We start from the raw sequence: 27,452 nt of genomic DNA, 5'->3' as shown, positions 1-27,452 counted from the left end.
TATTGGCTACAATTCTTTAGCAGCAAGAATTTACCTCCACTGAAGCTCTCTTAAAAATATATTTTTCTTTTTTTTTTTTTTTTTGAGACAGAGTCTTGCTCTGTCACCCAGGCTGGAGTGCAGTGGTGAGATCTCGCTCACTGCAAGCTCCGCCTCCCAGGTTCATGCCATTCTCCTGGCTCAGCCTGCCGAGTAGCTGGGACTACAGGCGCCCGCCACCACACCCGGCTAATTTTTGTATTTTTAGTAGAGACGGGGTTTCACCGTGTTAGCCGGGATGGTCTTGATCTCCTGACCTCGTGATCCACCCGCCTTGGCCTCCCAAAGTGCTAGGATTACAGGCGTGAGCCACCACGCCGGGCCAGAAATATATTTTTCATGACCCCAGATACACAGAAGTGTTGAGGAAAGTTTCTAGCTGATCCACTTGACTAACGTGGAAAAAAAAAAAAGAAAAAGAAAACAAAGATAGAGATTTTTATTAATATATGTCTGCAGGCATACTCAACTCTACTGATTTCCAGAGGAATTAAGCGATATTGGGCTGACAGAAAGGTGAGAAATGAGTGAAGAATTTGCTTTGCATAAGTCAATTTATCTTGAGTCCCATGGCAATTTAGGATTTGTTCCTTGAGCATCTCTCTCCAGCTATACTTTCTCATTTTCTATTTCGTTTCCAACTCCTCAATCTTTATCATTAAAAACATAGTCATTGAAATCTCATTCTTGCCTGTAAATCTAGTCTTAAACTCCCAGCACAAATTCTATTATATTGAAAATCAATATGAAATTGTGAAACAATATTTTGTTGGGAGATAACATAGTATATTTGTTTATACACGCCTCTCATGAATATGTTGAAAGTTGACTGTGCCTTAAAAATAGAACATATGAAGAAATGTATACAACATAGGACTTCTGGCAAGCATAATCTCATTTCATTTATTCTTTGTAAATACTTCAATTATGTCTGCTAAATATTTTTAAAATCACTTTCAACATACTGCAATGATTAAGAACAGACAGTACAAAGTTGACATCTTTTACATGATCTTAAAGTCTAGAAGGTGTGTGCTGTGAGTTTGTTGTACTTCTATGTGCCGTTAGATAGATTAAGTCTGTTTCTCCATGTAGCTCTTACTTAATGAACAATCCTAAAATAAATCACTCCAAGGTTGCTTCAATGTGCTGTATTCTGAGTACCTTTATTTAAAATATAGTTTAAAATACATTTAAACAGAGAAATACATTTAATTAGCACATTAATAAAGAGTAACTTCTGCATTCAAATTTAGTAAAATTTGGGAGCTCATATGAAATGAAAAGATATATACCTCAATAACAAAATAAAGAAAATAAGAGTGCAACTTGACATTAGAAGACATATAAATGGCCTATAAATAGAAGCAACTTGACATTAGAAGACATATAAATGACATATAAATAGAAGGAAACACATAAAAAGATGTTCAACTTCATTAATCTAATAAAATAAAGTTATACTTTTTACCTAGCTACTTAAATAAAAAGATTCGACAATATTCAGTGTGGGCAAAGGTGGGCAGAGTGTATAGTCATAAATATTTGGTGTGAGTAGATATGGGTTTTGGAGAGTAACCTGGGAATATGTATATAATTTTAAGATTGTCCTCTCTTTCTCCCAGAAATCAAAAATCTAAGAATCTATTCTTCAGTTACATTAGTCTAACCTCTACAGCACATACACATGCAATCAGAGACACTTATGCATAAACGATATTCATTATAAATGTTATTTGCAGGCTTAATATCAGTAAACAATAAAATGAGATAAAGAATTATAGTACCTATATTTAAAAATTACTATAAAACTATTAAAAATAATGAGGTACTAATCTAAAATGGTAAATATGATAATTGAGTAAGTGGATAAACATTTAAAAAACAAACCAATATTTGTAGCATGATTCCAATTTTGGAAAACAAAGAAAGTAATTAATAAACATAATAAATAGATCAGAGTGCACATGTGTATTAATATATAGGCAAATGTGTAATAAATATATCTGATCTATTAAGTAACATCAAGGCATAATGAATATACAGGGAAATTAAAGAAAATAAGTATTTGGACTATGGCCCGAGTACAATCTGCTCCACTGGAAATGGCTGATCTTTGGAAACTTGGTAGACATCTATGATGATGTTCCTTTGAGAATCAAGGTTATCTGAGGCAAGTTATCAAGCTGACATATTGGAAGGTAAACAATATGACACTACAAGAATTGTGCGTATCAGTCAGTAAGTCAAAATCCAAGTATGTATAAAGTTGGCACCGAAGAGCTACTACTAGTTAGAATCTCCAACCACTGGGTTAAGCTACTGGCCTCCATAACCGTGGATCTTTTTGAGATACAAGACAGGATATCAGCATATAAGATAGTGTACTATCCAGCTAATGAAGAATGGATATGAGATAAGAAGACACAGTCTCAAAGAACAAGACAAACACCACAATAAGACGAGCTAAAAGAATAATTTGAGGTTGAGATGCTGACCTGCACACTCAGAAAGCCTGACTAGAACAGAACAGGAAGATAATTCACTTGAATAAGAAAAGATCTATCTCACATCTTTGCTCACAGCTTGAGTGAAATATATTTTTTCCCTCATCAAAAAACAGACACTTTATAATTTTACTTTTGCTCCCAATGGCATCATTATTTTTTCAGTCCACCAGACTCAAAATTTTAAATTATCTGTAACAATTTTTCTCCTTTACCAGCTTCTATAAACCTTGATAATTATAACCCCAAACTGGACATTTTCATTTCATTTGAATTACTAAAATAGTCTTATGATGTATCTTCTTTTTTCTGGTCGACCTTCCACAGAAGTGTCAAGATAATCCTTTTCAAATTAAGTATTTCTTACAAAGTCCTAATTCTTCCCAAGAGCACCGGCTGGGATGAAATGATGTGTCTCAGACAGCCACACTCCCAGACTCTCCTTTCTCAGATGGTTTGCATTGCCACTAGGTTGGATAATTTTCCATTTCTTCATCTCCAGAAATTGAGGAAAGTTTTCCTCTAAGTATATTAAAGCAGAGTGCTTAAGATCACGGACTCTAAAACAATACTCAGTTGATTTTGCAATTTGAATCCACCATATTACAGCTGTATAACTTTGGACTGTGATTTAACCGCTCTAAGTCTAGGTTTCCTTATTCATAAAATAGACATAACATTTCTAAATTCATAAAACTGTTGTTAGAATTCAATGTTATCATCCATGTAAAGTTTATTGCTGTTATTTTTGTTGTATTGGTAGAGTGTCTGGCCCATAATATTTACAATCGTTATCATTATCATAATCATTCCTAGGCATGTCAGCATTTTTCTTTCATTTTTAACACATTTCTTACTAGTGTATGCATAGGGCCTTTTACAAATATACATATTTTTGTTCATTTAAAGAATATTACAGTGTAAATTATATAGAAGAAATCACTTACTGATATGAAGTAACAGAATTTAACTTTCAAGTTCTTTCCTCATCTTTTGAGTTCTCTTTGTTTTTCCTTCATCACATAAGCCCGTAGGTCTTTCCACAGTCTGTTCTTTTAGGTGAAAATCCTCCCCTGGAAATGTGTCAATCTAAAGCTAAATGGTTTCTTTGAATCACTTTAAACAAAAGAAATTCAGAGTGAAGACTAATCTAAATATGTATGTTACGGAACACTTTATTATTCTTCCTGGTTAAGGATAGTGTTATTTTAATGAACATAAATTAGCTAAGAAAAAATGAATGTATCCGATGAACACAAGGGAATCTCACCAACTGACTGAAAGAAAGAGTAGCCGGGACTCCCAGGAACTAAAAAGTAAGCAGGTAGCTGGTCTCCTTTCTCTATCTGCCACTCATTCCAAGGCATGCTCATTAAGCCAAATACTCAGAATATTTTATTTATTAGACCACACAATAGCACCAGATTTCCCTGTTTAATTATTAACTTAAACATAGATGAAATTGGCCACTGGCCTTAGAATATATAACCTTAAGGTGTCAATATCTCTGAATACCTCGGAATATCTCTGGCACTATTAGTATGAATCACTGGAAAAAAATCAGGTTTGTCACAAATAACCAAATGCTTATTCTTGTCTAATCAGCAATGGCCAGAGGTATAGGGCTCCCTGGATAACGTTGCTCAGTAAGCTGATACTGTGGAACAGATGAACTCTGAAAAAGAAGCATAGAAAATATAAATGAATTGACTAGCACACATTAGCAACATGTTCTTTCCCTAACCGCCCCCCAAACCCAAATTAATATCTCAAGAGAACCATCAGTCTCTCCATAAATGACAGTAACTGATTAGGTAGTTATAAGGTGCCAGAGTGCTATCCGCTTTTCTATTGTTATGCCAAGAACAGCTCGTTGTTCACTTTTCATTAGTCTTCTACTATGTTAATATCAACAGCTTAACAACTTAATTAGAAATTATAATAACACTGATCTAGTACCTATTCAGATCACATATTCAATGCAAGGGAAGAATAAGTGTAGAGGAATGGGAATTTGATAAGAAAATACTCAGAATTAAAGAGAAATTGGGAAAATGGTTCTTTGTTCTGTAATCAACTTCTGTCACCACTTGCCTCACCCTCCTGGGGGAAGGAGGGGCTTTCCAAAGCCAACTCTGAATAGGACTTCAGTGCAATTTTTCCAAGACAAAGTCAGACATTGACAGTATAGAATCCAATGATCCTTCCTTTTTATTGGTCCTTATAGGAGTCTTTGACCAGCCACATATCCAAAATAACATACAAGGAAAGAACCATCTTTTCATTATTCATTCCACATTTGAATAGAATATATACATTGAGCATGCAACATCCCCTGCCCTGGAAGCTGTGGACAGAAGCGATATACAAATTAAATAGAATGCCAGGCCATTTCATTATTTCTCTTGAAAAAGTCAAGAGTGGAGATGGCGAGGTCTAGCCACACATTAGAATCAGATGAGAGTTTTTGATAGCCTACTGTTGCCCAAGATCTACCCCCAACCAATTTAATCAGAATTATTGGTTGTGGGTCCACACATTGGTATTTTTTTCAAAAGTTACCCTGGAGATTCTAATCTGTAGCCAGGTTTGAGAAGCATAAGCTAGCCCTTGGGGAAATAATAGTTATTAAGAACACATGGGAGGCAGACTCCAGCCAGCTGGCTGTACTTCTCCAAACTTAAAAAAGAAAAATGCAAAAGAAAAAAAACACAACTGGAGGAAGTCAGGAAAATCCTAAGTATTGAAGAAACCATGGAAAAGAGAGCTAAGTGTGCAAGCTTCTTGCTCATAGAAGGGCTGCCACTCACAGTTTCTAAAGTTGTGCTCCCCACCTCAGGCATGGGGCAGAGGACACTAAATTCAAATTGATCACACACTTTGTTTAAACACAAAGGACAAACATGGAATATTATTCTTACTGGGACATTGTACATAGCTAAGATTTAGTCCTAAATTAATGCTATTGAGACTGACATTTTTCAGGAACTGTTGTCGAGCTATAAGGGGAAGGAGCCCTGAATGATCATTGTCACCTGGCGTCATGGTGCCATTCCTTCAAAAAGTGGCCTTAGACAAGCCTTTTAATCAAACTACCTCTCAATTTCTTTGTTTCTAAAGTTACTGAGTTGATCTGACTGTCCACTCAAACATCCTTTCATTTATCCAGTGAACTGACAGTGAGAACTCTCTCTTACCAGGCCTTGCCTTCAGCGCTATCCTTCTAAATGGATCACACGTGCTTTCTGCCCATAAATGTCCTACAGTCTATTGAATTGCAAGTACGGGGTTGCAGTACAGTGTGAATTGGAAACGTGGGGAGTTAAAGAGAAGGGTTCAAGAGGTCAGGAAAGATTCTCTGTGGAGTTTTATTTTAGTAGGCATTAAAACACGAATGAAGATGTCCTAAACATATGAGATGGGTGGGTAGGAGTGGGGAACAGGAAGCGAGAGAGCAAAGCCTTTAAAAGAACTGTCATGAATCCAGTGTGGCTGGATTTCAGGTTGGAGATGGAGAAGTGGAGGGATGAAGTGCCATCATAAGGGAACATTGTTGAAGGCCTGTGTGTATTTTTATGCACTGATGATAGGATAAGGAGATTAGAAAAACCAATCTACTGTGCAAAGGAAGAAGAATGGCGACACTGAAGTTAGGTATTAAGTTAGGGAGTAAAGTAATAGCCCAGAGAAGAAATTATGATGGCCTAAATAGAGCCTTTTAGGGGCATACTATTCTAAGTATACGTTAGAGAGCAAGGATGAGTGAAAAAATGAACTCATAACCTCTAAAAATTAACACCTTTGAAGTATTTTTAAATGTATAATAAATGCTATTTTCATAGTAATTCTACTTCGAAAGAAATGTATAAGTATTTAAAACTTTGAGGCCAAGTTTTCATTGTCTTTCATTAACCACCAGTAACAAGATTATATTAATGTGAGAATGACTAAACCTATAGGGATATTCACTTAGAGTACTGTGTTCGAAGATACTCACAGATTTCTACACAGTTCTATACATCTTTACTTATCTCATCTCTAATATAGCCCTGGGGATTTTTAGAAAAGAGCATGTAATGTCAACTTGGTATTCAAACTGTAAGCATCAAAGCCTTGGGAACTATCAGGTTATCAGTCTTTACTAGTGAAAACATAACAGGATTTAAGTAGAGCTACTCTAAATGGTTCAGATTACATTTAGGTAATATTTTGAATGAGATGAAGACGGAGAGATTTTCACCCAAGTGACTAGTTTAAATTGCCTACATTTGTGTACCAGATTTTTGTGTGTGTGTGAAGTCAGCTAAGGGTATAAAAATTTTTCTCTCCAAAAAAGAAAAAGCTCTTTATGTTGCTGATATCCAAACAAGTACAAACTAAATATTCTTTCTCCCTAAAAGATAAAAAAAAGAGGAATATAATTTCTGGTTCTTTAAAATACTTCCTGAAGTTTTAAAAGAAGAAATCGACCAAATAAGGCTTTATGATTTAACAAATATAATTTTTGTTTCATTTGCAATCTATAATGGAGGTTACATGTAAAAAAAAATACCTTGAGGTACATAATGTTTACATATTTTTACTATTTATGCTTATAAATAATTTTTTTTGAATCCTTAGAGTAGATCCTAATGCCACAGCCAATTCAGTTACCCATAAAAGCATTTGTGCTTCATCTTGGAAACATGCTTGCTCCTCAGCCTCACCAGTTGCACTGGTTCTCAAGTTTACATGGTCTTTCCTGCTTTTCCAATTGGGTGGTAGACATCTTGGGCCTCAAAAGGACATTTATTTCAAAATGCTCAAGTAATTTTTCTGCTTCTGTCAGAAGAGAAGGAGGAAGAGGAAGAAGAGGAGAGAAGGAAATGAGTGAGTGTGGAGCCAACTGACTGTTGGTTTTGGACAGAGAAGCTTATACCACATACTCATGAGAGACTGTAATGTCTTTTAACTAAAGCAGGGCTTCAAGGTAAAACAGAATAGTGCATTTTTCATTCCACAGGCTCCAAACCAAACGACTACACCAAAACAGCTTGTGGTAATGCTTTAATGATTTAGTAACGTGTCGTTTCAATTATTTCCATTTCTGCAAGAGAAAAATACAGACTAACCCCTAGTGTTTTAAATTGCAAGCTCAAATCAGTGCTAGGATAAAAGATAGAATTTTTCTGGACCTTAGGATACCATGAGAACGCCAGTGAAACAGGAAGTCATAAAAGTATCCACTGCATGAGATACCAACACAGTTAGAAGGACATAGACAAACTATGGGCACTATATTTTCCTGGAGAACATATTTGTAGTGATGAAAGGAAAATGAACTTTGAGATAGTAATTAGCTTAGGAAGCTATATTTTTCTATGCCACAGGGATCTAAAAATAATGATTCAAGGACTATGGGATTATATTCTTTTGGTTAACTAGAAATCCCCTATATAATTTATTATGAGGACATAATAAAAGTATTAAATGAAGAATTCAAAATAAAATGTTTCATATATTAGACACCATTATATATTGTTTCAGAAATTGTTTTGGTTACTTAAAATCAGAAGCTTTGTTTTAGAACTCGGTTTTCCCTTGCAGTTTGAACTGTGACTGGTAGATGGCGCTGTCAGGATGTGATTCATTGTTACGTATAAAAACATTCCTTCTTCTTTTCTCAGAAATTCAAAAACAAGTTTCATATTTGCAGTCTGGTGGGGAATGTTCTTAGCTAGAAAACATACCGAGAATTAATTTTCTAGAAAATTCTCAGAAACGTCAATATATTTTGGAAATTACTCTTGGGTGTTTATTGTTCTAGATAATTAAGTTGTCTATTTCTGTTCCTGACAGACTCTCACTTCTCCAACACTTAAGCATATTTTCCAATTATTCTTTTTTTAACTTTTTAAAAATATTTCTCCCCACATTTAGGTCTTTGTGATGAATCAGAAAGATCTTGGAAGCAGAGGTTCTTTAGGGAACAAGGCCCTTTGAGTCTGTAGCTATAAATTTATTCTTTTCTAGTGCAATTTTTCCATTCCAGAATATCTAAACCTTGATTTAAAATCATGCAGTGCTAAAAAAGGATAATAAATTGTGCGGCAGAGCATTTCTTTTTCTCACCTTAAATGGTGACATCGATTTTATTCACTTGCTTGAGAGGTTAATTAATAATTTCAAAACAATAGTAAAAGAGATTCTGAAGTTCCTAGGAAAATCAAGTAATTCAGAAGGAAAAAAACCCAGGAACAAAACAAGGAAATGTATCTTTCAGGTTCAATTTCCTTAGTGTTGTAGTGGTGGAGTCAGCCATTTTTATGGTTCAGTCAACACAAGTTCAAAACATCTGACCACTGGAAAAACAGGGATTTTCCACATCTACGTATTATGGGTCATATCTTGAATAACAACAACAACAACAATAAAACACTCCTTAGACGTTTGTTCCTAGATCTACTCTCTTATTAAAAATTGAAAGTTACTTGAAAGAGTTATGCCCTGCTGTTTTATATTCTAAATGTAAACTATAATAGTTTTAAAAATGTACAAATACAATATTTTGCAAAATGATTTGGTTCAATGGATTAAAAAAATTGACAGTGTTTCTCAGGCCCATTTTTTCTGATGGTTATAGCTGAAAATTTCCACAAAGGCCATCTAAAATGTTTAGTTTTTAGATTGACATTTTATGTTAAAAGCAAATAAGGGATATTCTTAAAGGTAATGTCTATGTCCTCTCTTTTCTCTATAAAACTCACATGGTATTTAACGCAGGCCATGCATAAATCTGTAATATAAAACAAAAATAGATAGCTGAACATTGTGACTTTTACTTTAAAGTTCAATTCTGGGAGCATTCTAAATATTTTTTCCTTGCTAAAATTAAGAAAAGAAAAAAGGTAGAAACATTTAAAAAATTACGTTGTCTAAATTAAGTATATCATTAGAATATTCTCTTCACCTGCAGAGATTACTTTTCTTTCCAAATCACTCAAAATACATTGTATTATCTGGATGTGTTCTTAGTCAAATCTATCATCTTTAGCATCTGCTATGTTGACAGAAATGTTTTACAGTGTGAAATGGTGGTTCATATTTATTGCTGAGAATTGTATAGAAGTTAAATTCCCTTAGGGAGGCAAGAATTTGGGAACCCAAATATATATCCTCTTGCATCAGAACACTACTGTGGGAAAGAATGAGACAGTCTATGCTTCTTTGTTTACAGAGAGCCACAATCTTTTGACCAGATTTTAAATCAAGTCAATGACTTTCAGTTACCCATTATGTTTCTTTTTCTTCTTTTTCTATTGTGATAGCATTTTTTGTTTTCATGGGGAGGGAGGATGATCAAAATTGTTTCAACTCTGTTTGAAGATTTGCCATCACGGTATAATGGCAGTTGTAAATCATGCACGTTGAGAACGTTCGTATCTGTATCAGCCTCAATACCAAAACCCGAATGAGCTTTTCTCCTTCAATCATAATAATAAGAATTTTACAAACTCTCTGATTTGGTCTGTTTACCGTCATTTGTCTTTATAAAAGGAGACTTACTGTTTGGAATATTATTTGCTTAAAATAAGAGTTTTTATGTTCTGATTAGTTCAAGAAAATCTTTTTTATGGTTTAGTGTATCAAGTATAATATTGAAAATATTAATATTACACTGTTAAGGGGTAATGGGAAATGCCCAAATATCTTTGAACCAAACTTTCTTATACTAAAATATTGTATTTTAAAATATTCCAAATTTAAAATCAAAACAAATAATTAGAATATGACAAGAAGTCAGAAATTCAGCTTAGTGCTTCTAACTGCCCACTGGTATTTCTTCAACTTATCAATATTATTTTGCCTCAATCCATTCCTTTTTTTCTTAAAATAAACTCAAATTTCATGAGTCATTTAAATTAAAATACATATCTACAAATGGTCAATATTATACTATTATATTTCTGTGACAATGTAGAGATATTTAAATTACATGGCATAGTAATTATAGATGTGAAAATTTATACATAATAATAACATTACAATAAGACAATAACAACATTTCTTAGTACGTGAAGCTGGACTCAGAAGTAAATTTTGTTATAGTGTTTTTCAAATGCAGGCTTGCTTTCTTCAAGTTAAGAAGGCATAGTGTGAATTTAAAATAAATGTTATAGAAATTGAACGAGAAAAAATACTCTTCAGATTATATAATTTTCTATTTATTATATTTATGGCAGAAGATAGCACATCCAATTGAAGAAGTCATATTAAATCAATAGTGGTGATCATAATAATTGAAATTCATTCTTTGCCATCTTCTGGAAGAGATTAAGCCTTTATATATCTTGAAAAAATAATAATTTCAATACACATTTTTAATGCCACTCATATTCAGATAATCACTAATTGTAAAAGCCTATGTCTTGCTACTTTTGCTTGAAAATTGGAATACATCCTCATAGTGCTTAATAAATATTTGTTGAGCAGACAAAATCAATGTTGTCACTGGTGGTTGTATTTCTGACCTGACCCACAACGTTCTGTTTAAGCTATGGATTGTGCATAAAGAATAACTCTGGCCTAGCATTGCCAAAAAATTATTAAACGTAAGATAAATTCAGACAAAATCCCAAATCCAGATGACACCTTCACACCTCAGCCGTGACTTCAAACTGAGAAAACTCTGCGCGGTTGCAGTGCTTGGTATTGTATGAGCTCTAAGCTACTGTTGGGAGTTCCACGTCTGGACAAGTGGTCTGGGTGGCCAGGAGAAAAAAAAAAAAAAAATGCAGATTGAAAAAAAATGTTCCGTCAGGAGCACACTTCCCTGTCCTGGAATCACCTATCACAGTTGTTGTGTTTCTCCCAAGTCTGAATTTGGCTGCATAATTACCTTCTGCTGTCTGTGCCTGCTCCCACCAAACTCAGATATTCTCTCTCCCCTTCCATGAACAGAAAATGAAGCAACAGTTTCCTTCCATCTCTTCTTTTCCTGAAGGGAGAACGCAGAAACCCACTCAAGTTTTAAGGAATCTTCATAGCCGTTAACAAATAGAAAGAAAAGCTGTGAAGAGGGCTCCACTTATATCTTTCTCTGTTTTTCCCCTTTTCCCCCTTTGCCTTCTCCTTTGATAATCTACAGACACAAAAGTACACAGGAATAATAATTATGAGACATGCAGAAACTTGCAGTTCAATTCCTGTGAGGAATCCTATATACTCAAACGCACTCAGCCAGCAGCAAGTCTCTGATCATTTCCTTTTATATCCAGGAGCATCACTCTGAAGGAAGAATGATAGACTGAGATACATATTCTCAGGGGAGGTGGGAGGCAGGAGTGTGTTCTCTTCACCTTTGTCATGCCCTTTTTATCTCACTATCTGTCCAGACACAGTAAATCCTGCCCTTGACCAGAATTAAGATGAAGTAAAAAATGTGACCATCCCAGAAATTAGATGAAGTGAGAAAGTGGCCAGCCCAAAATTTAGATGACCTAAAAAAAATGACTAGGGCTAAAGGGAATGCAATGTAAATGTACTTTGTTTGCGTGTGTGTGTGTGTGTGTGTGTGTGTAAGTGTGTAGATATTCTAGAAAACATCAGATTTTGAAATAATGAGATAGAAAGCAATCAAATGTAATAGGGGGGAAAGGTCTGGAAATCCCCTGAAATATCATTTTGGAAGGAGGGAAGATTTTCCAAATTCCTAGGCTGAAAAAAAAAATAAACCCCAAAAAACTAGTAATTCTTAGTGACATTTAGATTTAGGAGACATATTTAAGTTAGATTGATGCAAACTGACAATGTGTCTCCACTTTTAATTGTGCCTTGATTTCCTTCAAATAATTACTTTTGTTTGTTTGTTTGTTTTCAGATGCATTAGATACTCTGCCAGAATGGTCACCAAAAGTTTCAGAAGTGTGCTAGCTGCCAAGAATAACACAAAACTTGTAACACGACATGTCAACATAAAACAATGGATGTGCAGATTGGCTAAACCATGATATATATAACAATAGCCAAACATTGTTAACTTGAAAAATTCATGATTTCTCCCATGTCATAAATTTGAGTTTTATTTCTAAAAAATTTTATTTCCGTCTTTACTTTTCCATACTTTCAGCCCTAACACTGCCCCCAATTCTAAACTGACTTCTGTAAAAGAAATTTGTTAAATGAACTCTTATAGTTAATCCCAGTAATACAGAATGCTATTCATGCACTGAAAGTGTGTGTGTATGTGTGTGTGTGTGTGTGTGTTTTCTCTCAAATAAATTCTGGAATTCAGTTTAAGAAATACAAATCTTGGGCCAGGTGCAGTGGTTCAGGACCTGTAATCCCAGCACTTTGGGAGGCTGAGGTGGGTGGATTGCTTGAGGCCAGGAGTTCGAGGCTACCCTGGCCAACATGGTGAAACCCCGTCTCTACTAAAATACAAAAACTAGCTGGGTGTGATGGCACATGCCTGTAATCCCAGCTACTAGGGGAGACTGAGGCAGGAGAATTGCTTGAACCCAGGAGGCAGAGTTTGCAGTGAACCGAGATCACACCACTGCACTCCAGTCTGGGTGACGGAGTAAGACTTCATCTCAAAACAAAAACAAAACAAAACAAAACAAAACAAAAAATCTCATAGTACCAATCTTTCAATCTGTAGATTTACATCTAAGAAGTAACGTCAGTCTATTCTTGTCTTAGAATTACTGCCATTCAATCTACTGCTAGTCTTGCAACAGTAATAAATAAAAATCATTCTAAATAAATTATCACAATAATACAATGTAAATGAAAGGAATATTAAGCCAACACCATATGACTTCAAGTGGAAATTTGTCACAGATCAATAGTCTAACTTATTCTTACCATAATTTCTATCGTACATAATACAGTATGTATGTGTGTACATACATATGTATGCATGTATGTGTGTATGTATATGAACACACACATACACTGTATTATGTGTATATAGCTATATACAGATATATATAGATATAAAGGCTGCTTCACTGCTTCAAGTTTCTCTTATAGTACAATGGCTCCCCTAAGAGGGTTACAGAATTCCATTGACTGCTCTGTGAATTCATTTGCTGTGAGTTATTTCTGGCCAGCAAAAGCATGCAGTTACCTTTTGAATATCGTTCAAGTAGGCACTCCATGACTTTACCAGAGGTTTTTCCTGTAGAAATAAATCTGTGTATTATTTGTCTAGTCAAAAACAGAGCATGCTGACATGGGATCAGTGGGGGATTGGAAAATGGATCTGGGGTTGAGAAGAACGAGTAAGAGGGAATGTACTTATTTCAATAATACACCCAGGACAAAAAAACAAAATATATTATTTAAAGTTATGGAAGTAATGTGTGTATGGAGCTATATGCAGGAAAACCTTAATCGGTTTAATTCCTCTACACAAGTACTTAACTCTCGTCTGTGTATGATGTAATTTTATTGTCATTTGATTTCCATTCCCCTCGTTAATTATTATATTTCACCACTTTTAACACCTTCTTGTTGTGCTTGATTTAGGAAGAGATGTAAATACGCAGCTTTTAAAATCCTGGAGAAAAATTATCTACTCACCTCCCATCATACGCATACCTAAAAAAGCGTATGTATGCACACATGCACACACATGCCACAAATCTTGACTTTCCATCCTAAGAATGCACAGTGAAAAGGACATTATTTGCCTATCACAGTATCAAACAATAACTCTTAAAAGCTCTTCCCATCACACTTCCTTTTAAGATAAGTGGGTATTTTTTACATTGAAACGATACATAGTAACCTTCTAAAGTAAGCCCCTAGATTTAGAATATTTTGGCAGTAGTGTTTTTAGTGAGTATACAGTGACTGATACAGACATTGTTAAAATTAGAGGCTGAACATGTTTGATGTTTATCTTCCCTCCTTCTCCTCCTTTCTCTCATCATTTCATAAAAGCAATGACTTGGATTTTATTATGGAAATTATGCCATTCTGTTTAGAGACATCATTTTTAAATTTAGGTTTAGGTATATATTTGTCTAATAATTAATCACTAATACTACCTGAGTCAATAGTAAAATTACTATTCAATAAAATTCCTGTAAGATATAATTTAAAATGTGATAGGGAAATGTTTTCAGTGTGTTTTCTTTTGACTTTTGTGAAAGTTTTGTATGCTTATCAAATGCCTTTATATAGGGTTTTCTTTTCATAGACATTGTGGTACCTATAATTCTTGATTATTTGGCCTTAGTAGTTACAGCTAAGGTTAAATTTGCATTTGCATTACATTTCTAAAATAAATATAATATAATTTATAAAGTTCTTAATCACAAAAAGACAGGCCAAACCAACAAAGCTTAAAACTTTAGTACTAAGCTGGGCACCAGAGTTCGTGCCTGTAGTCCAGCTATTTGGGAATCCGTGGAGCCCAGCCTGCACAACAAAGTAAGACCTCATCTCTCTAAAATAAACTAATGAACAAAAACACCCAAAACAAAAAAGTTCCACCTTACTATGTCTGGACAGTCACATGCAAAAAAAAAAAAAAAAAAAAAAGAATTTAGAATGAGACCTTATACCCTTCACAAAAGTTAACTCAAAACTGACCACTGACATACATTTAAAATACAAAACTATAAAACTACTAGCAAATAACATAGAACTTCTAGATGATCTTGGGCATGATCACAACTTTTTAAATACAACACCAAAGGCAAGATCTATGAAAGAAAGAACTGATAAACAGGGCTCTATTAAAATAAAAAACTTCTATTCTGTGAAACATACTGTCAAGAGAAGGAAAAGATAACCACAGATTGGGAGAAAACATTTGTCCAAGACTTAACTGATGGACTGTTATCCAAAATACAAAAATAACTCTTACAACTCAACAATAAGAAAATGAACAACCTAATTTAATAAATAAGCCAAAGTTCTGAACACTTCACCAAAGAAGATACACAAATTAAAATAGCATATTAAAAGATGTACTACATCTCATGACACTGGGGAAGTACAAATTAAAACAACTATGAGATATTTTGACACACCTACTAAAATTGCCCAAATCCAAAACACTGACAATATTGAATGATGGAGGGAATATGGAGCAACAGAAACTTTCATTCCTTGCTGGTGGGAATGCAAAATACTACAGAAACTTTGAAATATAGTTTGGCAGTTTCTGACAAAGCTAAACTTACTCTTATCATATGACCCAGCTATCACACTCTTTGATATCTACCTGAAGACGCTAAAAACCACAAATGTTTATAGAAGCTTTATTCATAATTGCCAAAGCTTGAAAGCAAACCAGTATCCTTGAGTACATGAACAGATAAATAAACTGTGGTACAGCCAGACAATGGAATATTATTTAGCCCTGAAAAGAAATGAGCTATTGAGTCATGAAAAGATATGGAGGAAACTTAAATGCATATTACTAAGTGGAATAAGCCAATTTTTCAAGGCTACATACTGCATAATTCCAACAATATAACATTCTGTAAAAAGCAAAACTATGGGGCCAGTAAAAAGATCAGTGATTGTCTGGGATTTGGATAAAATAAGGGATGAATAAGCAGAACACAGAGGTATGCTAGGGCAGTGAAACTATTCTGTATGATGGATACCTGTCATTATACATTTATCTAAACCTTTAGAATATAAAACACGGAGAGTGAATCCAAATGTAAAGTAAGACTTTGGTGAAAATACTGTATCAATGTAGGTTTATTGTGTAACAAACGTACCACTCTCATGCTGGATGTTTAGTAGTGGAGGAGGCTGTATCTGGAGGTGTGGGGAAGGAGAATACAGGAATTTTCTATACTTTCTCATCAAATTTGTTGGGAACTTAAAATTGCTCTAAAAGATAAAGTCTATTGCAAAAACAAAAAAACAACTAAAAAACACACGAACGAAAAGCCTTAATAAAATGTTTTCTCTTAAGGAATGAAGTAAATCAAATTACATTAAAAAAATAAAGTAGCCATAAAGCACCTTCCTGCCCAGGTCTCAAAGTACTTTTTAGCTAGCAACTCGTAACTGCTATATCCTTGAAGGCTTGTCAATACTTGCAGGAATTTTTATTAGTCGTCACCATAATAACTATTAAAGTCAATTATAATGCTTAACTTTTACTTTACAGATGAGAACATGAATGAATTTCATACCATTACATGTAGGACTAATTCTTAACTTTTAGCAATGATTGGGGGAAAGGAATAAAGCAGATCTTGCAATTCACATATTATCTGAAGCTTTCACACTAATTTCAAACTTATTTTCTATTAAATCATTTTTTAGAGGTGATAACCAAGATTGGGCAAATTCTGTCCAATTTATGCCTATTGTTCCATTATTGGAATGCTAAGCATGTGGGAGTTATTTATATCTTACTGCTCAAGATCATCGCCAAAGCCTGATTGCAAAAATTCAAGAAACTGCAACCTCAGGCATAAATGGGTTAATTTGTGTAATGCTTTTTTTCTTGTCCCTGCTGTCTTTTCTTGTCCATGCTTTTTCCCCCTTGTCTCTACCCTTTGAAACTGCTAATTAATAATGAAAAGTCTACAAGTAAGATCGACAAATAGGCATACGAGAAAATCACTGAGTTTGGATTTCTCAAAATTAGACAATTCAAATTTAGCTGAAGTTAGCAGAAGTTTAGAAATTCAAAATTTACAGTCCTCAAAACTTGTCTGATACTGAGATATGTGCGACAAATCTGATTTCCAAATGTGGATGAAGTCCACTTCGCTTTTCATAATTTTCCAGAATAGTTTCTAATCTAAAAAAATTCACCATTTGCTTTATTTTGATTACTTAGGTTTTGTTATATGGCTTATAAACGCTTTGAAACAACCAGTTCTGTTTCAGGTAATCTGTAATTCTGCAATCTCTAACCATTAATAGCTACACACAGACTTTCCAAATAGAATACAAAATTCATGACTAATATAAATGCCAGTTGGACAGATGACTAGGCCAACCCTTTCCACTATGAGAAACAATATAGCAAGTGTTCAACATATTTCAGTTAATGAATGAATGACCTAATGAAATTAGGAATGGACATTCCCAAAGGATTCCCATAAATAAACCTAAAAATCGTCATTTAAAATGAAGTTTTTTAATGCATGAGAGTGAAAAAATAATATTATGTTTTTTTCTTCTAATAGTGAATTTTGTGATGATAAAATTTATATTAATAATACCCAACATGTAGGATTCTAGGAACCATTCCATTTGTAATTCTTTAAAACCCCTTCTGCTGCTGGATGAAATGGGAACTGTTATACCACAGGTTTCCTACAGCACTGCAGGATGAATGGTCTTTTTCTAAGTGGCATTTGTATCACATGGATTGAATTTTAAACTGTTTTTTTCAGTGACCAATCAGACATTATAAAATAGTTATGCTACTGACTTGGTATGTGTTCAATGTCAAGCCATGTTTTTCCGTTGACAGCTTGAAAAGATTGTAAAACCACTAAAAATTTAAATTTGTGGTTCAAAGACACTTCTGCAGTTAGGCTGCTTTTATTTTTTCTCATTCCATTTAGTGAACACCTGCCTTTCACTGGATATTAAATCAATGCAAAACCTTTTAGATTTTGTTTGGAACCTAGGTAAAAACAAAAAAAAATTAAATATTTGGATAAAAGAAAAAGGATGGACTTATTTGTAGTTAGACTTTACATACTCAGAAGTACATACTTGTAAGACCTAATTTTTTTTTAATTATGCAACCTATTACTTAAGATAATGGAATATTATTTAAGGAAATAATGACTTGCTGTATTAGATTGAAGGTCGCAGTTCTGGAAGAGTAATTTAAGATGTAGTGGCCTGATGCTACTAACACTGTGATCATAATTGCCAACTTGTTAGCACCTAACTGAAAATTAATTGTACTAAAACCTGACTGTACATTATCCACCATGTATACCAACAGCTTATATAGAGTTTAGTACACAGAAGACATTTAGCTTACAACTGTTAAATTGAATTTTAAAAAACTGTCTTTTGAAACTCAGTGTTTATTTTCAATCAACAAACTTTTGAGCACCAACATTATATCAGACGTTCTTTTAGGTACTTAGGCTACCAAGGAAAAAAACATAGTCATATCCTCAAAAACTAAAACCCTAGTAGAGGAGAAAGAGAAATGTTTCCTAATAATTGGATATGGCAAGTGATCGAGAGCAGGGTTCTAAATCTTGACTTCCCATTAGAACCAGCTGAGAAGTTAAAAGCAAATAAATCTCACATCCAGGCTCTTCTGCAAACCAGTTGAATCAGATGTTTGGATGCGGTTCCAGGGCATCAGAATTTTGAAATGGTCTACGGGGTAATCCTAATTTTCAGGAGGTTGAGAAGGACTGTGCTTGAGGCAAGCAAGATGATAAGAAAGGCGCTCTTGATTCCATCTGGTAGAAACAGGGCAATATATCTAGGAAAGGTGATGCTTAAACTAAGCTTTCAAGAATGCTTGAGATCAGTCAGATGAAGACATGGTGAAGGTCATTCTTGGCAAAAAGGAAATAATGACTAAAGGGGAGGAAGAACATGACACATTTAAGGAACAGGAAGTGGTTGTTGTGATTAGTATTTAGAATATGTGTAGGCAAATCTGGAGTAATAACATGCAAAAATCGAATATGTTACATGAAATATGCAATTGACTCTTCAATATTCATTATGTACTAGATAATTATTCTCCAGATATTAATAAAACTATCATAGTAATTTTATTCCTTCTTTTATGATTGGCTCAGGAGTAGATGAATCTAAGCAAATTTAAATCAAGGAGAAACTTTCTTCAACTCCATGGAAAAGAGAAAAATCTTTTCTGCAACCAGATGGATGGTGAGAGGTATGTTTCATGGTTGCTGCTCCATAAGAGAAGCCAGACTGAGAATAATTAGCTGATACTGGGTTACAGGCAGAGTCAAGTAAACCTGAGAAGCAGGGCTGGAAACTTGAGGTATTAGAAACTAGAACCCAACGCTTGTTCTAAGCTTCATGTGAGGTGAGATTTAAAATGTTCTTCTTGTTAAGCCACTTTGAGTCTGGGTTTCTTAGCAGTGAATTCACCCAATCAATTCATCAGGCAAAGAATTTTCATTGTCAAGGTATTGAGGAGGCATTGCAGCAATTTAGGAAGTGGATTTTAAAAGACAGAAACATTCTGCTACCTTAAAGTAGGATCTTTATATATGCCAGGCAGTGTGTGTGCATTTTATATATGTATAAGAAATCATAACCAGATTTGGGTTTTATTCTTCTGGTAGTAACATGTAGGTTGGATTTGAAGAATCCTAAGCTAGAAACAAAAGAATATAGAAGTTATTTTACAGACTCAGCTATAGAGATAACTATGAACAGAAAAAAGAAAGAGCCAAGATATATTTACGAGATGAACTTTCTAAAATTTGACAAATGGTAGAATTTTATGGCTAAGAGAAATGGAAGATTCTAGAATAAACTGTTTGTTAGAACTACCTGTGTATGTCTCAGTAAGAATGGACTAAACTGAATGTGAAACATTGGCTGATTAACCCTGGTTTTGGGGCAGGAACTTAACTTGGGCAGAGCAAATTCTGCACTAAAAAAGTTACTCAAGCTTTCAAATTATTCTGCGCATAAAGTGAGTGTAAATAATTATAACTTGTTAAATCTGAAGATTTTATGCCCAAAGCAAATACATTTTTTAAAAATCTCATAGAAATTCCAGCAGCGGCAGACCCTGAAATTTTCCTATTGAGCAGGTGTGGTGAATAAAAGTCAAATGCCTTGTATCTATTTTACTTACTTTAAGTGTGTGAACTCTAGTGGAGAATCCTCCTATATCATGTATTATAGTTAGATTTTTATTTCAAAGGTTGTAAAACATTGGTCAGGGTTTTCAATGACCTCAGTCCCTTGGCTTTCAATTTCTCATGTAATTTTCATTATAGTAGTAATTTTCCTTCCATAGGAATTTTCATTACCTTCAGTTGATGAAGTAGGTATAGCATGCTTCATTGGTGTTCTATTGATTCCTTCTCATATATTAGTTTTCATAGCTTTATATTGTATTTACAGAGATAATTAGTTAAGTTGAGGCCATATAAGATTAGAGTGGGCTCTAAATTCAGTATGACTGGTGTCGTTATAAGAAGAGAAACACAGTAATCAAGGCTATGTAACCATGGAGGCAGGGGGATGTAGCTGCTATCAAAGAACACCAGGGATTTCTAGCAACCCCCAGAAGCCAGGAAGACGCAACCAAGGATATTTCCCCTCTGCCAACAAAGGGAGCATGACTCTGCCAACACCTTGATTTCAGACTTCTAGCCTCAAGAACTGTCACAGAATCAAATCCTATTAAGTTACACAGTTTGCTGTCATTTGTTATAGAAGTCATAGGAAACAATTTACTCCCTTAATATGCATCTTCAACATCAGTTGATTCATTCACGGTCCATACTGGAGTCATGTCTTGAGTGTTCCAAGGCAGTTTTCAAGAGTACATAAACCTCACCTCCTTTTAAAAGAGACACAGAGCTGCATAATTATCTCACTCAATATTTTGTCTCAATTCTTATACCAATTTACAAAATATTAACATTTCGTTTTTCCTGAAATTTATATATGCTTGATCTCACAACTTCACCATTCCCTATTTTTAAGTAATCTTTATAAGATTTCTTTACAGCATCCTAAACTAACACTTGTTATTCTGAGGTAATTTCCTGGGGAAAATTTTTAAAAATTTATTAAAATTTGTTTCTCCTTTTTAATCATAAATGTATAATAATCATAAACATTAAAAGCATTAATTGACATTGTTTCAGATTAACATGTCTCTCTGAATAGTGGTTTAAAGCTAAAAATAAAGTAACTGAGAGAATGAGCCATATCAGACTATGTAAAGATTCAATGATTCAAACTATGGCATCCTGTTTCCTGTAAGATAATATTGGGAAAATGCATTGTCCTAATGTTTGAACAAATATGAATGTTGCTTGACAGAACTCACTGGTCAATTCCAAATGAATACATTCTTAGAAAGACGCTGAAGTGGTTTAAAGTTAACAAAGTAAATTACATATTTGTATGAAAGAGTAAATCTTTTGTAAAATTCATGACTTGTAGTGCTTAGCACTGTATTCTGATATGTACCTAAAATTGGATGTGTAACAATTTCCTGAAATCCTAATGAGATAAATATTTAGTTAGCTTTCTTTACCAAGTTCTTATTGGTCAGAAACTTGATGTGCATATTTCTATTACAGAATTACATAGCAGAAAATTTAGCTATTGGGTTATGTATTATTGATTTTATTATTTATTTTAGATTTAATTACAGATACATAAGGAGAATGCTATATGTACCAAATTCAAGCATCTTTAAAATAGTAAGGTCAAAAAGAGAAATATACATGGATCAGAGAAACCAAGACTGCCAAGCAACATATTATTATTTAATACCAAAGTGATAATTTTTTCAAAACTCTATAATCCCATCCCAGCATAGGGAAAAAAAAAATCAAGATTTTTACTTTTCTTTTTTTTTTTTTTTTTTGAGAAAAAGTCTCACCCTGTCACCCAGGCTGGAGTACAATGGTGCCATCTCGGCTCACTGCAACCTCCGCCTCCCAGGTTCAAAGGATTCACCTGCCTCAGCCTCCTGAGTAGCTGGGATTACAGGCGCCCGCCACCAAGCCGAGATAATTTTTGTATTTTTAATAGTGAAAGGGTTTCACCATGTTGGCCAGGCTGGTCTTGAACTCCTGACCTTATGATCCGCCTGCCTCAGCCTCCCAAAGTGCTGGGATTACAGGTGTGAGCCACCGCACCTGGCCACATTATTTTTAAAGTAGCATGTCTCTCTCTCTCTCTTTTCATTTAAAGGAAATTCTCCACTTGTATTCACCCTCTGTAACTTCCAAAAATATAACCGTTTTCATAATTTTTGCCATTTCCAACTATTTCTCAATTATCCACTCAATATATACTGAGCCCAGACATGTACCAAGTGATGACAACATAATCACTTTCTTTTCTTCAACTTAATTATCTTAAGCATTATTTCTTAAGACAAAGCAAATAAACAATAGCAAAAACATTTTCATTGTCGTTGGTTCTCTTTTAGATAGCTGCATTACTTTTTTTCCTGTTCGTATCTAGATTTCTGATAAGCCCTGCATCTATCTTCTCTTTTCTTGCTGTTTTCTGGGTCCTCTGCTGCTCTAATGAAACATTCTCTATACTGTTATCCACATCCTTCCCTGAGGCCTTTCCCAAATATTATCTTCCACAATATCTCTACTTGAATCTCTTCATTACCCATTTCCAGAATTTTTCTCTCCTCGTGGCTTTCTGGATATTGTGCTTGCTTGCTCCTTGCTTCTCTAATCATTTCTCTGACAAACCTTCCTTATGAGGTTTCATCCTTTTCTTTCTTCCTGAGAGTGAGACTACCTCCAGGAGGAGCATTATTTTTGTACTGTCACTCTGTGCCATCTCAGAAAGCTTATTTAAAATCATAGTCTTAATCATCATTTGACAATCAAGCCTTAATTTTATCCTTACTTCTAATGCAAATTCCAACTCATCAAATAAAGGAATATATTCAATATGCAACCATCCACTTGAATTGTATGTATTAAATACATAATACATAAGCACTCACCACTTTCCTCTCTAGCTAGATCCTTTTTGATATTTCTAATTCTGTCAAATACAACAACATCTCCTACTCCCAGGGGCATGGACTGCATGGCCACCAATAACTACTTTTTCAATCCTAAAATACAATCAACTGATAATTCTTACCTAACTTTCTGCCTCAAACAACACACAAGCATCCTCTCCAAATGAAATTTCAAACGCTTTTCTAATTTGTGTTGTTTTATCTTCCCATACACCTTTTGCAGGCCACTCTAACATGTAAAGTCTCTATTTCTCTCTTTCTGGCTCTTTATACTCTCCTCCCTCCCTCAATTTATGAATTACAGAAAACTATATATATTCTTGTATATATGTGTAAATCTTGTCTTCCTAGAAATCCAACAAGTTTTCTCGGGAGAGGAATCTGCCTATACTTTTAAAATCTGTCTATACCTTTATGACTGAGCACCTCATTAGATCTTCCAGTGGGAATTTATCTAGTTTTATTTTACTTGAATTATTAGATGATTAACAATTTTCTTGCACAGCTAGATTAGTGTTTAGTAATTAAACCTAACATACAAACCTGAAATGTTTTGGTAATCATTTATATATAATTTATATGTACTTAAAATAAAATTATGAAGTCTATATGGGAAAAGTTGAACCAGAAAAATATGTTTTGATAAACAGTTGTCACTTATTTCAAACAAGAACCAATATAACCAAATGCTGGTGAGTGTAATAATCTGTGTATGCTTTATTGCCTACTGAAGTAAGCACTGGTCCCTGTTTCACAAATGTATAGAAATACATTTTATCTTTCAAAGTATATTTGTTGATTTTTACCCTGGGATTTTCACTATAGAAATAAATTATTAAATTGATTTCATAATTTTTATTTGCACTAAACATAGTAGTGGAATATACGTGCTTTATATGTAAATTATCTCTCAGATAAATCAGTAATACTTGTCTTCAAGAAATATAGAATGATTTTTATTTTATTTAATAACTCTGGCCTAGACATATTTTGACTAAAAATATAATGTCTTTTATGGCATATGGTTAGTGTTATTTGCAGGTCATATAATTGTTAAAACCTATCATGTTAAGAAAACAATTGTGGGCATTTGTGCTTAACACATCCTCCTATAAACTGTATTATTTCAAACCTACACACATTGATGAAGGCAGTCTTCTTTACTCTTTTTACTGATTCAAATGTTAATGTCTTCCAGCAACACCCTCATCAACATACCCGTTAATAATGTTTTACCAGCTATCTGGCCATTCCTTAGCTGAGTCAAGTTGATATATAACATTCACCATCACAATTCACCCTTGTCTCCTGGGCACCCATATGCATGTCCTTTAACCGTACTTAGTTTCCAAATAAAGACAATAACAAGGCCATAATTCTGCCTTATGTAATACAACTATCTTGCATAAAATGGAAAATCCACTAATCCCTTCCAGAGGATACAGTCCTTAAGTAATATTTATCCTTCTAATATTTTATAACTCAAATACAATGATGTAAAATTAACGATACTAAATACTGATATAGAGTCACATATCTTATGTTACATAATAGCAGAATAAGAGAAAAAAGAAAACAAGGATATTTGCTTAATATATATGTAAGCAAAACATATTCATAACAAAATAAGGAGGAAATACTCATGACAAAGTTTTAGTTTCTGTAACTGGTCTTGTTGTCATAGCTGGTGTTTATAACTACCTTCTTCTACTACCCATTATGTATGTTCTTTGCTTCTTCACGAACCTTATCTGGTCATGGTTCTTTACCTGGTGGGGTGACCCAAACCATTCCTGAAGAGTTTGGGCCATTAGTAGTCCTGTTCAGATGAAGTTGTTGTAGTTTTCCGTTAACCTTGATCACAGGCATGGTAATACTAGCAGAAGTCCTAAGGAAGCCTCTATATTTAAGATATGCTCATTCTTACCTCCATTGTGGAGTAGGCCAATTTCCTTTTGGTAGTCCAGTTCAATTTCCCTAGTCAACACCAAAACTCCCTTCTTGTTGACTCAGAGGCATGAGTTGCCCAAAGTGTTAAGGAGGCAGTCTTAACTTGCAGTTCAATAGAATCACTGTTGTGTCTCCTAGTGGAAGCATTCCTCCCTCTGGGATTAAGCATTGCTCCCTCTGGGGCAAGCACAGCACAAAGTCACGGTAACAAAAAAAATATTTTGCTAATAGGTCACTAGGGGTAATTGTGAGTGGTACCACTCTCATTTCTACTTCTTAATTCCTGGGCCTGTGAATCCTTACTATAGAAAAAAAAAAAACATTTATTGGGTGCTGATTCAGAGCATGTATAGCCTCCTGGAGAACTTGGTCAAGTGGTATTGTCACCTAACTAGCACTGTAACTGAGCCTTCAAAAGGCCAAACCACCATTCTATTAAGGCAGCTGTTTTAGGATGGTTGGAGACCTGGTGAAACTAGTGAATTCCATGAGCATGAGCCCATTGCCACACCTTTTTTGCTGTGAAGTGAATTTCTTTATCAGAAGCAATGCTGTATGGCATATCATGACAGTGGATAAGGCATTCTATACGTCTACCAGTGGTAGTTTTGGCAAAATCATTGCCTGCAAGGAAGGAAAATCCATATCTAGAGTTAAGTTTTGTCCAATAAGGACAAAATGTGGACACTTTCATAATGAAAGTGATTCAGTGGAATCAACCTGCCATCAGGAAGCTGGTTGGTCTCCCCAGGAAGTGTTGCCATCTTGTCTCGTAACTGCTACTTAAATGTCACAATTATTCAAGTGTTTCATGAAAACTATTGTCAAATATCAACATAAGTTTAACTGAAAAAAATGTACACAAGTACATATTCGTATTCTTGATATCTTCTTCGGAAATGTTGATGAGAAATTTTAAAGTGTAAATTTATTGTACTAACCTTTAAAGCCAAGCCATATCTGTCCTATTAAAAGTTAAATATATGGCCCACTTTAGAGTCAAATATTCTGATCACTATGTTAATACATATTAAAAAGCTCCTATTATTACAGCTGCAATGTATCAAATACAATAAAAGTTTTTAATAGAGACAAAAGAAGTCAAGTTCAAAAGAGAGATACACTATTGACTATCAGATAAAATGATGTTTTCCTCCATCTGAATTAGTCAGGATTATCTAGAGAAACAGAGCCAACAGAATACACACACACAAACACAAACGCACACGTAAACAAATACAGGGAAGTTTATTATGGAAATTTGCTCACGTGATTATGGAGGCCAAGAAGTCCCAGGATCTGCCAGCTGGAGAAGCAGGAAAGCCAATGGCATAAGACGTCTGAGTCAAAAGGCCTGAGAACCAGGAGAAGTCATGATGGAAATCCTCGTCAAAGTCCAAAGGCCTGCGAACCAGGAGTGCTGATGTCCAAGCGCAGGAGACAATACATATCCCAGCTCAGTGAGCAAATGTGCCCTTTCTAAGCCTTTTTGTTCTATTTTTCCTGCAGCTGTCCCCTTTAGGGTGATGCCTGAGTATTATGCAGAACATCTGTTAACCAGGCCCTAGTCTTCTCTTCTTCTGTCAAGTGATCATAGGGAACTCCGTGAGACCACAGGTGCAGGCTGCAAGAGAGAAGCTAGGGTAGTAGAAGTGGAGACCAGAGGCATTTGGGCCACTTCTTCATGTAACTGACTTGTGCCTTCACAGCCTGCTAGGGCCAGATCACAAATATGCCACTTCCATTTGATGATGGAGTGTTATTTCGCACACCAACTTGATGGGTTGATGGGTCAGATAACACCCAGTTCATGACGGGTAGCTAAGGTCACATAGTTACTTGGTAGCCCATTTTTCTACCTGTGGAAACATTAACCTCTTTTCCTTATAACTGCAATTTTTGCCACAAAACTTTCAGTTCCATTATCATTTTGCAACGAAAAATATATATCCAGCTGGGTGCAGTGGCTCACGCCTGTAATCCCAGCACTTTGGGAGGCCGAGGTGGGCAGATCGCCTGAGCTCAGGAGTTCAAGACCACCCCGGGCAATATGGTGAAATCCCGTCTCTACTAAAATACAAAAGAAATTAACTGGGTGTGGTGGCGTGTGCCTTTAGTTTCAGCTACTCGAGAGGCTGAGGCGTGAGAATTGCTTGAGCCTGGCAGACAGAGGGTGCAGTGAGTTGAGATCGCGCCACTGCACTCCAGCTTGGGTTACAGAGTGAGACACCATCTAAAAAATAAAAAATTAAAAAAATAATAAAAAAATAAAA

The 27,452-nt window shown here is 34.7% G+C and overlaps 1 long non-coding RNA gene across 2 annotated transcripts; it reads right to left on the bottom strand.

Annotated features, from left to right (window-relative positions):
- Nucleotides 1-1,181: 1,181 nt before the first annotated feature.
- Nucleotides 1,182-27,152, bottom strand: LOC101927558 (uncharacterized). 2 transcript variants are annotated; one of them, XR_927057.3, is made up of 4 exons: nucleotides 26,449-27,152; nucleotides 13,660-13,710; nucleotides 11,425-11,523; nucleotides 1,182-4,221 (listed from the first exon to the last, which is right to left on the bottom strand). It is a non-coding gene; the product is annotated as an uncharacterized LOC101927558 (long non-coding RNA). The 2 variants fall into 2 exon arrangements; XR_001745101.2 differs by lacking the exons at nucleotides 1,182-4,221; nucleotides 26,449-27,152 and adding an exon at nucleotides 7,215-7,367 and having other exon boundaries at nucleotides 13,660-14,419.

The sequence above is a fragment of the Homo sapiens genome, chromosome 7 (assembly GCF_000001405.40).
Source record: "Homo sapiens chromosome 7, GRCh38.p14 Primary Assembly".
Taxonomy (NCBI): domain Eukaryota; kingdom Metazoa; phylum Chordata; class Mammalia; order Primates; family Hominidae; genus Homo; species Homo sapiens.
Note: the sequence above shows the minus strand (reverse complement) of the source record. Positions and strands in the feature narration are given on the sequence as shown.